Below are 17230 nucleotides of genomic sequence, written 5' to 3' on the forward strand. Positions count from 1 at the left end.
AGATATTAAGTGCTATGGTACATTTAGTAAAAAAAAAAAAATCAGAAACAACCTTAATGCCCAACAGTAAGAAATATTAAATTATGGTACACTCATAAATACAAATCTTTATTAAAAATAACACTGTAGAATACTTAACATGGCAATTTTTTTTTTTTTTTTTTTTGAGACAGAGTTTTGCTTTTGTTGCCCAGGCTGGAGGGCAGTGGCACAACCTGGGCTCACAGCAACCTCCGCCTCCCGGGTTCAACCGATTCTCCTGCCTCAGCCTCCCAAGTAGCTGGGATTACAGGCATGTGCCACCACACCCCACTAATATTTTTTGTATTTTTAGTAGAGACGGGGTTTCACCATGTTAGGCTAGTCTCAAACTCCTGACCTCAGGTGATCCACCTGCCTCGGCCTCCCAAAGTGCTGGGAATACAGATGTAAGACACCGAACCCAGCCTACCTAACATGGCAAATTTTTTTTTTAAATATTGAGTGGGAAAAACAGATCATAAAACCATGTGCCTATGTATGCTGCTGTTTTGGTGAAGAATGGAGAAAACGACATGAAAGAAAAAAGAATTACAAAGCATATGGATATGGAAATATGGGACTACAAAAGGACACACAACAGAAGTTACTACAAAGATATGGAAGAATGAGCAGTTCTTTTATTTTCCTAAATTCGCAAGATTTCATTAAACTAACATAAATGGACACAGAATATTATGGTACAAGCTCCTCTATCTGGAGGAAGCAATGAGTCTGAATGTAGAGTTCACAGGACTAATGAGCAAATACTCTGACAATAAAGGGTAATTTGTATCAGACTCTGAGGGGGAAGGAGCTCAACTAGGGATCAAGTTCAAAAGCATTTATAAAACAACTGACAGGTCTTGTTTTTCAGTGTGATTTGCCACTAATTCTTAAATAAGAAAGGCACTCAAGTATTGCTGCTAACTAAAGAACAAACTGAAGATGCCTCCTGGTGAAGTGATTTATAGCAAGCTTCAATGCTGAAAGCAAACAAAGCTGTTTTAAGATTTGGCTACAATGTCAGTGAGTAATACAAAGAATTTAAACATAAAGTAATTCTATCACCCATTTCCTTCCCTCCAACCTACCTCCCTTCAGCCTGTTGAGCCACTGAGTTAATCCACAGAAGATTTTTTCCAACAATAGATGATGACCAGACAGCAATTCCCTGTATAGCTTCAGGACAATGAAGTTCACATAGTGCTTCTACCACCATCATAATGGTTACTTCCAATTCATTCCCCTGAAAACGCATTCAGAAAAGTTAGTCACCCAATACCATTAAAACATAAATCCCTATAAAATTTACAACTGATCACAGTCTGTGCCTGCTTAAAGCCAAATGTATTTAACAATTATTTTCACAATTTTCACATTATTTAGCTCAGAATTCTTTAAAATGTTACATATAAAATAGCCACAAAGGGTGACTAACAGAACCTTAGCAGCACATGGATGTTTGCACCCCCACCCCAAAGTTACCCAAACATTTAACCTGTGACCTCTGTAGGAATAACACATGGAGTAAAAAGAAAGCAAAAATTAAATATAAATAAACAGGAATTAAAGAATGATTAACTTCATGTGTTTGAATACTGCTTGACATTACCTGAATTGCTAAACATTTTGTTATTTTTGGATTCCAGTTATTTATTGTGAGCCCACTTTCAAGCCAGGAATTACTCAAGCATTTGTCATACGTTATAAAAACAATTTCTCCTGGCCAGGTGCAGTGGCTCATGCCTGTAATCCCAGCACTTTGGAAGGCCAAGGTGGGCGGATCACTTGTGGTCAGGAGTTCGAGACCAGCCTGGCCAACATGGTGAAACCCTGTCTCTACTAAAAATACAAAACTTAGCTGGGTATGGTGGTGGGTGCCTGTAATCCCAGGGACTGAGGCAAGAAGAGGCTTGAACCCGAGAGGCGGAGCTTACAGTGAGCCGAGATCACACAACTGCACTCCAGCCTGGGCGACAGAGTGCTGTGTCTCAAAAAAATAAATAAATAAATAAAAAATTTCCCCCATAAACAAATTTTCAGAATTACCTTTAAAGTTCTAAACTTTGCACATAAGAAATATAGTTTTAACATGTTCTAAGATGAATATTGTTTTAACATGAACAAAAACATGAACATTATTTTAACTTCTAACACTGTTTTAACACGAATAAAATAGGTAACTCTGGCAGTTGTTGCTTTTACAAAATACAGGATCAAAACCTTTGAAAATGAATCCAAGCTTTAACTTATTTTATCCATAGATTAAATCATACCAAAGGAATTAAACCATGTTTTTCTTATTAACAGACTTAAAATGAATTTCAAACACACCACTTTACCTGAGATAGGCTGGTTGTTTTCATCTCTGTAAGCAAGTCAAAGCCATGTCTCACTGTCACTGCAGGCTGGCCTGCCAACAATCCTACCCTCATGATGGAGAGTCGAATCCGCGTTAGCCAGTCCTGACAAGTTTGGCGATTGGTATAGAAAAAAGTTCTAGTCACTTTACGATAAGAGAAAGAAAAGCTCAGGACTGGTTCAATTTGTAGGTAAGGATGTCTCACCTATATATAAACCAAATACACAAGTCTATTGTGATTTCAGCTCTGCACATACTGCCAGCTGTGACCATTAAACTGCTATAAAACAACACTATCTCATGGAAACCAACCTTGGGAGGTGAAGTTAATGCATTAGCACATCCCTCGTATGCATTATACATTAATTTCTCCAGATATTCCAGATACTGCAGAAGAAGAACAAGTCTAAGTTGGTTGTTACCATGGCCTTCATCACTGTCTGCAGTTGTCCACTGACTAACATCCTGATCAGGGTTTAATGTGTGAGCTGCGAGACTTCGAATGATACCTGAAAGCAAAGACAACATTCTGAATTTTTAAAAATCTTAAAAGTTCCTAGAATAAGTGTGAGTTTTTTATGATCAATTCACATTTATCAAGTATCCTCTGTCTACCCATCATTTAAAAATAAAAAATCCCAACATGAAAGATCTTTCATTTTAGGGGAAAAAAATATATATTTTTTCCACACAACTCCCATAAGTTTTGGGAAAAAAACAAACATATTTCCAATGCAATTATTCAATGAAAGCTTATTCTAACAAACATACCTGAAAATTACTGACTTCTTTTCAAAAAAATCATATACTCTCAAATCTTTAACAAAGATTTAAAAATCCATTATTTCTTAATAAGGCTTTGAAAGTATTCACATCACAAAGCTTGAGCGAGTTACCTTCAATTGTCTGGAAGGTGTCTTGAGCTCTGCCCAGTGGGGTTCTCAGCTTAGAAAGAACAGTGAATTGTGCAGCTTCCCATACGGCCCACTGCCAAAGGATAGCATCTGTCTTCAGGAGATTGCGTGGAATTGTTGACTGGTCATGCTTATCCAGTCTCTGGCAGCTATAGAACAGTCTTTCCAACCAATTGTCCTTCCTGGGAAAAGTAGTTTCATATTTAAAAGACAATGACAACTTCATTTTAATAATGAAAAAAAAATGCAAGGGGAATGGGAATAAGGAACTGTAATTTTCCCTACTCCAAAAAAAGGCAAAACCTATGAAATTGAGAAGCATTATGTCCCCCCCCTCTTATTTTGAGGTCTTTTATAGTTAACAGGATGAGGTACAGCGTGGAAGGATGATTAGGGTAAACGGCTCATGCCGGTCAGGAATGAAACTCATTCAATGCAACTAAGCATCTCTAGAATATCTCCACCCCCACCCCATTCCCCAAAGTGTTAATGACATCACATCAGTTAACTGTTAACCACATTTCATTACTCAATTTCAAAGCCCATTTTTGTTTCTACAGATGCTATCTTCAAAGTAATTTTCCTATTGATGAAAACTGAAATAACCCATATGAGAAGAATGTTACTTGATACTCTGCCACCCCCAAACATATTTTCTCTTCAAAACTGCATGTAAAGTAAAGGGAATCTTAAAATTATCTTTCCTAGATAAAATAGTCAAAGAAATGCCTTACCCTGTTCTATGAGAGTTCCCATACAAAATAAAACTAATAACATCAGAGAAATCTTGGGGGTGGAATGTATTACTTGGTGCTTTACTCATGTGACTTCTTAATGCTAAAGAAATTTCTTGAATTTCTGTGTGATTGTTATTGCTGTAGACAGAAAATAAAGTTGTTGTTACGCAAAATATTTTAGCTTAAAAGGTTAGCACATACTGTAAGTGGATTATTTACTTATTAACTCACTGGAGGTAAAAATATAGAAAAATTGAGACTTTCAAATGGATACGGAGATGTGATTACAACTTTAGATCCTTTTTTTATTCACTTCAGATGGGTCATGTGCCGACATCATAAGAGGATTTGAGGGAGGCATATCAAACATGTGAACATAAAAACCCAATCATTATGCTTATGTATTACAAAAGGATCAAGTTTAGGCTCTTAAAAGCTCCCAAATCAACTTGATCAAAAACAATAAAAGATTACTGTTTAGTTTTTCAAATATCTGAGCTACTAAGAAACATATTTTGGCACTACATGAGTTATTCTATACTAATTATTGTGAGCCTATAAAGCTCATTAAAAATTTTTAATTTTCTTGCAGACCTGCAAAATTTGATTATTTGACATCACTTCAATCACTGACAAGCAGGGCCATAAAAGATGTGTCATTAATGCTCTAATAGGTGATCTGTCTTCTCCTAAAGTAGACAACCAGTAGAGGCTGTAAATATCACAGAATGTCTTTGCTCCAAAACAACTGTTATACCTTAGGATAACATCTAAAGGAATTGATTTCAACAGTTTTCCAAATGCTTGTCGAATACGAGTTCCACAGTGCACTAGTTGAACATGGCAAACATCAACACATCTATGAAAGAACGAAATAGACAAAGCAGGTGTGTTAACATTTCAAAGTTATTAGGATTAATGTCAAAAGACATGATCTTAATTTCATACCTCTGTAAAAGATCATCTGGCAAGGAAGAGGACAGAGCAGGTAGACTGCTGCATGCCTGCAGACAGATATTCACATCTTCAACGAGAACTATTAAACATTAAAAGACAGCTACTTTCAGCTGGCCAAAAGAAATTATATCCCAGTTTGTCATAATTATCTGAATCCATTCATTCATTCAACAAAGAGTGAGTGCCTACTCTAGACTAGGCACTGTTCTTGTCCAGAATCCTCATTGACTGTCATGTTTGGAAAAATGACACATTCAACAAAACCCACGTAATGTAACTGATGGGTCATCACACAAAACTTTTTCTGAGAGAAAATGTAAAAGTATATGCAAACTATAAACATTCACGTAAGCTTAAAAATGTGACAATCACTTCAAAACATTTTTCTAATACTAAGAATGAAAAAAAATCAAGACTGTGTATCTGTCATTAAAATGAGGATTACACATCTGCAGGTCAGGAAAAGAGCTCTATTGATGACCATCTCCCATTACCAAGGATTGATAAACAAAATAGAAAAAAAAAAACAGAGTCTTACTGTTGGCTAAAAGGCCTTTGCAAAATTTATGGAAAGACGGAAGACAGAATAAAGGTGCATATGTTTCGGACTTCTTCATTAAAACAGCTACTTCCAAAGCCCAAGTCATTAACAGTTTCCTGAAACACAAAATATACAGTTGACTGTACATTAAAAACAATAACAAAAACAAAAAAACGTTAAAAGCCTAGTCTTCTTACATTGGTTTTCTCTTGGTTTTTCAAATATCTCAAACAATAAAAAATAAAAATAAAAAATGAAACTATAGAAATTACTGTCAAAATTGTTGTGTGCCTTTTAAGAAAACCTCCCAACGCAGCATGATAATAGCAAAGAGGCCGGGCGTGGTGGCTTACCTGAGGTCAGGAGTTCAAGACCAGCCTGGCCAACAACATGGTGAAACACCATCTCTACTAAAAATACAAAAATTAGCTGGGTGTGGTGGCGGGCACCTGTAATCACGGCTACTTGGGAGGCTGAGGCAGAAGAATTGCTTGAACCTGGGAGGCAGAGGTTGCAGTGAGCAAAACTCCGTCTCAAAAACAAAAAAAGCATAGAATATTAAAAATCTATATATATTCTTCTATGAAACACTGGGGGTGGGGGATTGAGGTTTTTCATGTATTTCTTTTCAGAAAGAATAAGAAAGCCTAGATTAAATAATAAAACCAAATTATAAGGTGTTTGACAGTAAAGAAGCTGCTCTACCTCACCTCTATAATCCACATTTTTTAAAATTTTTTGTAATTCACATTTCTTATTCTCAAATTATAAAGGCAAATTAACAAAGTTAGGAATAGTTAATACTATATAAAATCTGTTACCTCGTGTCCTGGTTAAGGTTATCTTTCTTAAGTAATATTCACAGAAGATTTAATATAATTGAGAAATGTTTCTTTGTGGCCGTAGTTACAGTGCTAATCACAGCTCCATCAAACAAAGAAGGAGAGGAAGAACTGAGGCTACTAGAGATAAAGTGATCATGCCTGAAAGACAAAGCATAGATTATCTTTTCATCTTTAATCAAAGAAAGCAAGCAAGTCCAAAGTTAAATCAACATACATCTTTAAAATCTATCCATTAAAAAAATAAAATGTTTTGTGGGGTTCTTAAGAAAAATTTGTGAATACAGTACCTGGTACAATGAGAATACAATGTGTAGAGCACAGCATACTGAATGGCAGGGAAGTGAACAGCCAGGTCACTGTGCACAATCATCAGATTCTTACTCAGAAGTGCAAAGACAGTTGGAGATAGCGCCCACATCTGATCATGTACAAAACAAAGTAAGTTTATGGCTTCTCCAAAATAAGCACAAGCATACAGAGTTTATCCTTCAAAACAGGGGTATTTGGACTTTTTTTATTTGGACATTTTTAAATTAAAATTACAGATTGGAAGGGATCTAGTACACTACACCTTGGACAAATACTTTTTTGTGAAGTCAGTAAAGCCTTTGCGTGCAATATAGCATCTCTATGCAATGCAGCAACTCCTTGTCTATCGCTACAGTAAGAAAACAGCCACAGGTCAGGTGTTGTGGCTCACACCTGTAATCCTAGCACTTTGGGAGGCTAAGGTGGGCAGATCACTTGAGCCCAGGAGTTTGAAACCAGCCTGGGCAACACAGCGGGACCCCATCTCTACTAAAATTACAAAAATTAGCTGGGCATGGTGGCGCACACTTGTAATCCCAGCTACTCGGGAGGCTGAGGCAGGAGAATCGCTTGAACCTGGGAGGCAGAGGTTGCAGTGACCCGAGATCATACCAATGCACTCCAGCCTAGATGACAAAGTTAAGACTCTCTCTCTCAAAACAAAACACCAGCCACATACGAAACACAGGAATGAGAGTACCTGTGTTCCAAGAAAACTTTCTTGAGTCGGAGTCTCTCGCTCTGTTGCCCAGGCTGGAGTGCAATGGGGCGATCTCAGCTCACTGCAACCTCTACCTCCGGGGTTCAAGCAACTCTCCCTGCCTCAGTCTCCCAAGTAGCTGGGACTACAGGTGCCCATCACCACGCCCTGCTAACTTTTGTATTTTTTTAGTAGAGATAGGGTTTCACCATGTTGGCCAGGCTGGTCTTGAACTCCTGAGCTCGGGTGATTTGCCCGTCTCGGTCTCCCGAGGGATTACAGGCGTGAACCACTGCGCCCAGCCCAACGAGAACTTTCTTTACAAAAACAGGCACTAGTGTTGCGATGGTTGTACACTTCTGTGAATATACTAAAAATCAGTGAATTATACACTTAAAATAACAAACAAAAAACAGGTGCTGGGCTGTATTTGGCCCACGGACCATAGTTTGCTGATCTCTGGTCTAAACAGAGCCCTTTGTATGTGCCTTTTGCGGAAGTAGACTGTATTTCTTCAATTTTCCATATACTGCAAATGGCAAGGTGCCCTGTTCAATAAGGAAACAAAGGCACACCCTGCCACTATACACCTTTTCCATCCATCTTGTTCCTTTACACTGCCAAGACACTCCATTCCACCTGACTGCCCCAGCCCCACCCACTTTCTCCTTATTTCTAGAGTACAGGACATAAACATCTTTGAATCTGCAAATAATGTGAATAATTTTCCTCAAAAATCAAGCTTTCATGTTTGAAGAAGAGTTTATTGTGACTTCAAACATAAGCTGTAACTGGTAATAAGCGAAGCAGCTATGGAATTATACAAGGCAATCCAATCAAACAACATGGAGCACACTGAAGCGCAAACATCAAATTTTACCTTTTTCCTCCTAAAAACTTTATTCCCTAATTACATCCATTACTTTCTTTCTTTGTTTCTTTCTTTTTTTTTTTTTCTTTTGAGACAGAGTCTGGTTCTGTAGCCCAGGCTGGAGTGCGGTGGTGTGATCTCAGCTCACTGCAACCTCCACTTCCTGGGTTCAAGCAATTCTCCTACCTCAGCCTCCAAAGTAGCTAGGATTACAGGTGTGCACCACCACCCCTGGCTAATTTTTCTATTTTTAGTAGAGGCGAACTTTCACCATGTTGGCCAGGCTGGTCTCAAACTCCTGACCACAAGTGATCAGCCCGACGTGGCCTCCCAGAGTGCTGGGTTTACAGGTGTCAGCAACCGTGCCCAGCCTACACCTATTATTTTCTATTAAAAATAATGTTTTTCAACTCTGTGTGGTCCAATAGGAAGAAGAAATACACAAACCATAAACAATAAATACAAATCAAGAGCAGGGCCACGTCGAATTACTTAAAAAAAAAAACACACGGGCTGGGCGCGGTGGCTCGTGCCTGTAATTCCAGCACTTTGGGAGGCTGAGGCGGGTGGATCACCTGAGGTCAGGAGTTTGAGACCAGCCTGGCCAACATGGTGAAACCAAGTCTCTACTAAAAATACAAAAATTAGCCCGTCGTAGTGGCAGGTGTCTGTAATCTCAGCTACTCGGGAGGCTGAGGCAGGAGAATTGCTGGAACCCGGGAGGCAGAGGTGGCAGTGAGCCGAGATTGCACCACTGCACTCCAGCCCAGGTGACAACAGCATGACTCTGTCTCCAAAAAAAAAAAAAGCTTTTTTTTTCCCCCCTCCTAAAAGAAAGACTACAGGTTGAGTATCCCTTATTCAAAATGCTTGGGACCAGAAGTGTTTCAGACTCTGTATATGTTTGGATTTGAGAATACTTGCACATATATAAAATGAGATATGTGGGGGACGCGACCCAAGTCTAAACACGAAATTCACTTATATTTCATAGACGCCTTCTATTCATAGCCTGAAGGTCATTTTATGCAATATTTTAAATAATTTTGTGCATACAACAGTTTGGACTCATCACATGAGGTCGGGTGTGGGATTTTCCACTTGGGGCATCATACTGGTGCTCAAAAAGTTTCAAATTTTGGAGCATTTTAGATTTAGGATTTTCAGATTAGGGGTGCTCACCAGTAAGTGTTATGAAAATATTCCAAAATCCGGCTGGGCATGGTGGTGCCCACCTGTAATCCCGGCATTTTGGGAGGCCAAGGCAGGTGGATCACCTGAGGTCAGGAGTTCACAACCAGCCTGGCTAACATGGTGAAAACCCATCTCTACTAAATACAAAAAAATTAGCCAGGCGTGGTGGCGCATGCCTGTAATCCGAGCTACTTGGGAGGCTGAAACAGGAGAATCGCTTGTACCCGGGAGGCGGAGGTTGCAGCGAGCCAAGATTGCGCCATTGCACTCCAGCCTGGGCAACAAGAGTAAAACACTATCTCCAAAAAAAAAAAAGTATTCCAAACTCCAAAATCAAAAACACTTCCAGTCCCAAGTATTTCAGATAAGGAATATTCAACCTGTATGAATGTTCCTAGGGAAAAAAAGACAGCCAAAATATAAGACCATGTATAAGAACTAACTTCAGTAGACAGAAAGAAAAAAGTACCAGGGGAAGAAAGAGACCGCATTTTAAAACAACTATACAAATTTGAGCTGTAAGAAACACTGACATTTTCTATAAGCATGCTAGAGCAAATGGGAGAAATTCATAAGACGTTTTCTAGAAAATAAAACTAATATAAAAAAACTTATCAAGATTTGTCAAGGAAAAAGAAGAAACGTTAAATATAATGGCAAGAAAACATTCCTACCAATTTTATTTATCCAGGCATGTCTTAAATATGGCTGTTTGTTACATACAGTGATTCTGCAGACATGTTGACATGACAGTGAAATACATAAATATGTAATGAGAAAAGGCTTAACTGTGGATAAAACAAAGTCATTACAATTAAAGACTCGAGTTTTTGGCATTTCCAGTTGTAGTCAGGGCACTGAGGTCAAATTTAACTACAAATTTTGCATTGTCTACATTGAACACATGATTCTTAAAAGCCTCATGTTTTATTTCAGAACAGGCCTCAGGAAGTTGCAGACTGTGCAGGAGGTTGTTTAGGGCACAAGTCATTTCTCCCAATATTAACTTATAGGCAGTCTCCAAAACAGGAATATTCTTCAAGCTGAGCATTGCTTGATAAACAGCATGGGCTACAGCAACAACCTGAAAAACAAAAAATTCAAGGAAGTGATAAATGGAAAATAAATCTTCTAAAATTATATGGAAAATAAATCACTATCTGTATTAGTGCTGATGATACAAATAAATTTAAGATTGATCAATTCACTGTCCGTAGCACTTAATATTTTAATTTTTAAAAAACCAATCAGAAAACTGACACAGATCAGTAAGCTATTTCAAATCTATTAAGTTTTATCACAAATAAAGAGTACTATAAATGAAAACTGTCAATAGGAAATTTCCAAAATGGCCGTTTTTTTTTTTTTTTAAATAATCAACATCAAAAGACATATGCAAACAGCAGTTTAAGACTGGGTTTCTTAAATCTACCAGGAAAGTCTGTGGTGGATTTGACTAGGGGGTGGTTGAAAAGCCAGTCATTTTTGTTTATAAAATATACAGTACTTAATTTATAACTTTATAAATGTGTCAACTTGTTTTACCCTTATGAAAATTTAATAAATTTAATAACAGCAAGAGATGCATAATCTGAAAAGAGTATCTGGCACATCATTCATGAAAGTATTCAGTATGATTATCAAGAAATATAAATTTAAAAGAACAAATACAATCACTATATTCTAAATCAAACATTTCACATTTCACTCAATTTCACTTATATAGCCTGGTAAGCAACATTAGGTCCAACTCTTCAGTGACTCAAGTTGTCAAAATTCATTATCAGTATATTACTTACCTCTTTTTCTTTATGATAACGCAAGAATAGTAGTTTAGATGATGGTATAAACAGTTTTTCTACAAATGATGATGGCAGTTTCGTATTTATCTGTTCAACAATCTAAAAGAATAAAATTTTTAAAAAATGAGCTTCTCAAATTACAAAAAGACATGGAGAAACCTTAAATGCACACTGGTAAGTGAAAGAAGCCAATTGAAAAGGCTACATACTATATGACTCCAACTACATGGCATTCTGGAAAAGGCAAAACGATGGAGACAGTAAAAAGATCAGGGGTTGCCATGGGCTTAAGATGGAGGGAGGGAGGAGTGGGGAGAGGGAACGAGGAAGGAGTGGGTAGAACATCAAAGATTTTTAGGGAAGTGAAACTATCCTGTATGATACTGGTAATAGGGGATACATGTCATTACACATGTTAAAGTCCATAGAATACATAACACAAAGTAAACTATAAAATTAGTTAATAATAATATATCAATATTCACTCCTTTGTAATAAATGTACCACACTAACACAATATGTTAATGAGGGGGAAACTGTTGGGATGAAGAAGGTATATGGGAACTCATTGTTTTCTGCTCAATTTTCTGTATATCTAAAAAATAAAGTCTTTTAATTTAGAAAAATATATCTAAGCTATATTTTAAGGCCTTAATACTGTGACATTAAAGTGTTTAGACACCTAAATAGGACACACGTATTTTACAGTTATCATGGGCATTTTTTCACATTAGCAAAGAGAGGTGTAAATCTGGCAGAAATGCTCAGCAGAATGTCATCTAGAATTTGCTTTAAAATAATCCAGCTGGAGATGAAAGGATAGCAAAGAGGCCTAGATGAAACCAGATGGGCCATTTGTTTCTAATTATAGAAGCTGAGTGTTAAATATGTACAAATTTATTATACCATGCTCCCTATTTTTATGTGCTTCAGAATGTCCATAATAAAAGTGGGGGGAGGATATTTATGGTTAAGAAATTAAAGGAGGCCGGCCGGGCGTGGTGGCTCACGCCTATAATCCCAGCACTTTGGGAGGCCAAGGCAGGCAGATCACGAGGTCAGGAGATCGAGACCATCCTGGCTAACATGGTGAAACCCCGTCTCTACTAAAAATACAATTGTGCCACTGCACTCCAGCCTGGGCAAAAGAGCGAGACTCCGTCTCAAAAAAAAAAAAAAAAAGAAAGAAATTAAAGGAGGCCAGGCATGATTGCTCACACCTGTAATCCCAGCACTTCGGGAGGGCAAGGCAGGAGGATTACTTGAGACCAAGAATTTAAGGCCAGTCTAGACAATGTAGTGAGACCCCTTCTCTCCAAAAACTACAAAGGTTAGCCAGGCATGGTGGCATGCATCTGTAGTCCCAGATAGTCGGGAGGCTGAGTGGGAGAATCACTTGAGCCCAGGAGTTTGAGGCTGCAGTGAGCTCTGATTGTACCGCTGCACTCCAGCCAGGGGAATACAGCAAGATCCTGTGACAAAAAAAAAAGAAAGAAAGAAAAGAAAAGCAAAAAAGAAAGAATCTGGTGCATAGAGCAATGTTTCCTCAGAAAAAACGAGTAAAGCTACACTGAGACTAGCTATCAACCACTAAAAATAGAGGCCTGGCAGAGTGGCTCATGCCTATAATCCCAGTACTTTGGGAGGCCAAGGCAGGTGGATTGCTTGAGCCCAAGAATTCAAGACCAGCCTGGGCAACATGGCAAAACTCCATCTCTACAAAATAATATAAAAAATTAGCCAGGTGTGGTGGTGCACGCCTGTAGTCCTAGCTACCTGGGGGGCTGAGGTGGGAGGATCACCTGAACCCAAGAGGTCAAGGCTACAGTGAGCCAAAATCATGCCACTGCACTTCATCCTGTGCAACAGAGTGAGACCCTGTCTCAAAAAAAAATTGCATTAAAAATAAAAGTAAATAGACACTAAAATGAAAGCATAGATTATAAGACTGATGAATGTACTCTAAAAAATAATATAATAAAGCAAAGCCCTTATTTTTTTTCTTTTTTGGAGACAGGGCCTTTTTTGTCACCTTGGCTGAGTGCAGTGGCACAATCAGAGCTCACTTCAACCTCAAGTTCCTGGGCTTAATCGATCTTCCTCCCTCAGCCTCCCGAGTAGCTAGGACTGCAGGTGCACACCACTACACCAAGCTAATTTTTGACTTTTTGTACAGATGGGGTCTCACTACATTGCCCAAGCTGTGCCAGAATTCCTGGATGCAAGCAATCCTTCTGCTTTGGCCTCCCAAAGTGCTGGGATTACAAGCATGAGCCACCATACCCAGACAAAGTCCTTAATTTCTTACATATCGATTTAAGGGCCTGAATAAACCAACACATTAAAAAGGAAAAGAATAATTCACATACCAGCGTGAGTAAATTCAAGACTGAGATGATATAATTGGTACCACAAGTCTGGCAATTCTCCAGTTGGTCTAATCCATATGTAATGACCATGTCACAATGTATAGTCATGCTAGGATCCAAGCTGCCGAGCAAAACACCAACACACTCATTAGCAGCTGTCAACACAGCCTCAGAAAAAAACACCTGGTTTGCAGCCGTCACACATCTCATTACTCTGTACAGAACCTGTAAATGGGGAAAACAAGCAGCTTTTTACAAAAATTCACGTGCTTCCACAAAGCAAGAAAATACTTTTTATTTAATGCAATTTCAACTGAAAATTAACTGCTTGCCTTGCCAGCAGTCTCTTAATATTCTAGTTCTCAGTAGCTGAATAATAATGATCCCTTTACTACAATATGTAAACATGATCTTGGCTAAAAAATCCTAAAGTGCTACTATGACAGGAAATGGAACCTGCCATCCTCTATTTCCCATATACCCAACTTCGTTTCTCCCAATGTCACTAAATGGCTGAAGCTCAGAATCTTTATCATGAAATACACCACGACAGTAATGGTATTGACAGCATGGGAATAGCCTGCCCACACATACTACAAGCTAGCTCTTGGGCTTTTGGGAATCAATCTTTCAAAACTGAACATACAAGTCACTTTAAGCTTATTAAAGTTTCTATCTACTGATGGTCTCTTTTGAAAGATAAGCACTCTCATGCTTACCACATAATATCTTCAAAAATCATATTATTTCCAATACACACACAAACAAAATCCCCCACTTAACTATAATGGCCAATAATTGTGTACTAAATTTCTAATAAAATGGGGGAGAAAACAGAGCAAATGTTTAAAAATATTTCTATAATATTTAACAACCAATACATACAGGATTTTATTTAGTCTACCCATAGTTTTCATTAAAAGTATCCTTGGAGGTTGGGCATAGTGACTCACATCTATCATCCTAGCACTTTGAGAGGATTAGCTGGAAGGTTCTCTTGAGTCCAGGAGTTTGAGACCAGCCATGTCAACATAACAACACCTCATCTCTACCAAATTTGTTTTTAAATTAGTTGGGCGTGGTGGCTCACACCAGTAGTCCCACCAACTACTTGAGGCTGAGGTGGGAGGATCACTTAAGCCTGGGAGGTCAAGGCTGCAGTGAGCCAAGATCGTGCCACTGCACTCCAGCCTGGGCAACAGAGACCATGTCTCCAAAAAAAAAAAGAGTGGGGGAGAGAGGGCGGAGGGGGAACCATTCTTGGCCATGCATGCACAGTGGCTCATGTCTATAATCCCAACACTTTGGGAGGCTGAGGTGGGAAGACTGCTTGAGGCCAAAAGTTCAAGACCAGCCTGGGAAACACTGAGACCCCATCTCTACAAAAATAAAAAATTAGCAGGAGCTGTGGTGGGAGGATCACTTGAGCCCAAGATACAGAGGCTGCACTGAGTCGTGATGGCACCACCCCACTTTAAAAAGAAAAACAAAAAAAGCTGGGTATGGTGACACCCGCTTGTAGGGCTGAGTGAATGGGAAGTTCACCTGGGCCCAAGAGTTCAAGACTACAGTGAGCTATGATTGCACTACTACACTCCAGCCTGGGTGACAGAGTGAGGCTCCAGCTCCAAAAATAAATAAAAAAAATAAAAACCCCACCATTCTACCATTCTCAAAGGCCTAAAAGATCCTCATAAATCAATATACACCTATCCTATAAATTATGTCCCTTTTATTTTATGTCTGAATTAACGGCTTTTTATTTCAACTCTGTACAGTCTTCAAACAACCACCTTTTAGACATTAAAAATGAAGCAAAGATATTAAACCATTTTGAAACCATATTGGTTTAAAATACCAATATGCTGGTTTCATTTATCTTTAAGTTCTGACATTTCTGCTCAAGTACACAACTTACTATATAATCAATATCCTATTTTATTTAGCAACATGTTCAGCAAAAGTATATGCTCCTAAAAGCGAGTTTTATCCTAACAGTAAAATTTTCATCAGTTAGATTAAATTTTTTATGACTGTATCACACATGCTTCTTTCTCCTTATTCAAAGCAGAGTACAATGCCTGGGGTTCACTTCTTGTGTCTTTTCCACTGAACCCTCATTGGATGTGCTATATACAGTGCAGCTAATGTTTGAGGCTGCTGAAGTGTGGCAATCTAGCTACCTCATTTTTAATTTGTTTATGTTCTTTGATATCAGGCTATCAAAGAATATAAAGATATACAAGTTTTCATATGAGTTCCATCTTATGCTCAGAGAAGGTTACTTTCTGAGGCTTCTCCTATAGTGTGCTATTCGTAATATGTTGAAAAACTAAAAGGAAACCCAATAATTTAAAAGTAAAATTATAAGATATATTATTTAAAAATGAAAGAATAAGATTTAAAAATTCAGAGTGGCCTTTTGTCATGGGAGGGTAGGGGAGTTGGATGAAAGGAGGATGAGATATAACAGGATTCCCTGCTTTTCTGGTTATTTAAGAAAGCAGTCAGACAATATATACATATATACATACATACACACATGCTAAACAAATGAAGGATTAATAACAGTTCACCTGGTAAAGAGAATCATTTACAATGTAAAACAATTTTATTTTTGAATGACACTTCAAATGCCCAAAAGCACTTACAACTGTTACGTATGCCTCAGTAATTGGAGGACCCGAATTGGGCTGAAGCGTTCCCCAATGCTCCTCAGCACAGTACTAAATACCCGGAGAAGCGCAGCCAGCTTTGGTGATGACACTGATGGAGGAGGGACGTCTTCATCCACTGATTCCCCAGAGGCCACATGGCTGAGGTCCTAGATGTGAATTCACAGCATTCTTAATAAGTAGTACATTGTTTAAAAAAAAACAAAAAACTCTAAAATATTTCAATCAATTCATTTTAGAATAGATTTTTAGGCTTTTAGAAAGAGAACTGTGGCCCATGAGAATATTCATGACTCTGAATATAAAAATGGGTTTTACCTAATTATTTCAAAAAGCCAACATTAAACCCAATAGACAACAAATTAAGGAAATAATCTCTTAAATCAACTCAGAAAGCTGTTGGGGAAAAATAAATTCTAGCACATATGCTCTAGTTATATGTAGGTATAAATGAAGACGGAAGCTTTTGCCACTCCTGAATTAGTTTTTGGCTAAAAATCTCATTCTAGGTATTCTTTGAGCCACTCAGCTCAACAGTAAGTCCTCCAAACCAAGAGCATGCACATGAAGAGCAAAGGGAGATTACAAGACCTGGTCTACAGATGTGTAACTGAAGAAGTACGATATATGAAAAGGACAAGATTCGCAAAAACTAGGATACTAGAACCAATGTATACATCTACCTAAAATTAAGCACCAAAATAACAGAAGAGAATGAGATCTTAAGGATAACAAGGGGAAACATCTCTACAAACTAGAATGTGTGGCTTATGAGAGGTAGATCAGCTTTAAACGTGGGCTGTGAAAAAAGACATTCTAGGTGTGGGGGCAAAGAAAAAACAACGCAGAAGCAAAACATTTCCTTGCTTTTCTAGGAAAGAGTAAACACATCAGTACAGCTAAAGGTACTGAATTCCTGTTGACTACAAGCAG

The 17230-nt window shown here is 38.2% G+C and overlaps 1 non-coding gene and 1 pseudogene across 3 annotated transcripts in view; both read right to left on the reverse strand.

Moving 5' to 3' along the window:
* Positions 1 to 4346: 4346 nt before the first annotated feature.
* LOC124903797 (small nucleolar RNA U13) lies at positions 4347 to 4450 on the reverse strand. The gene has a single exon (XR_007065242.1). It is a non-coding gene; the product is annotated as a small nucleolar RNA U13 (small nucleolar RNA).
* Positions 4451 to 10095: 5645 nt separating this feature from the next.
* SMG1P2 (SMG1 pseudogene 2) overlaps positions 10096 to 17230 on the reverse strand; it is a 68707-nt pseudogene continuing 61572 nt past the window's right edge. For both annotated transcript variants that reach the window (NR_135317.1, NR_135305.1), the window contains 4 exons: positions 16274 to 16446; positions 13623 to 13847; positions 11251 to 11352; positions 10096 to 10535 (listed from right to left, as the gene is read on the reverse strand). The product of NR_135317.1 is annotated as an SMG1 pseudogene 2, transcript variant 1 (transcript). The remainder of the gene's footprint in view (positions 10536 to 11250; positions 11353 to 13622; positions 13848 to 16273; positions 16447 to 17230) is intronic.

This window comes from Homo sapiens, chromosome 16, assembly GCF_000001405.40.
Source record: "Homo sapiens chromosome 16, GRCh38.p14 Primary Assembly".
NCBI lineage: Eukaryota > Metazoa > Chordata > Mammalia > Primates > Hominidae > Homo > Homo sapiens.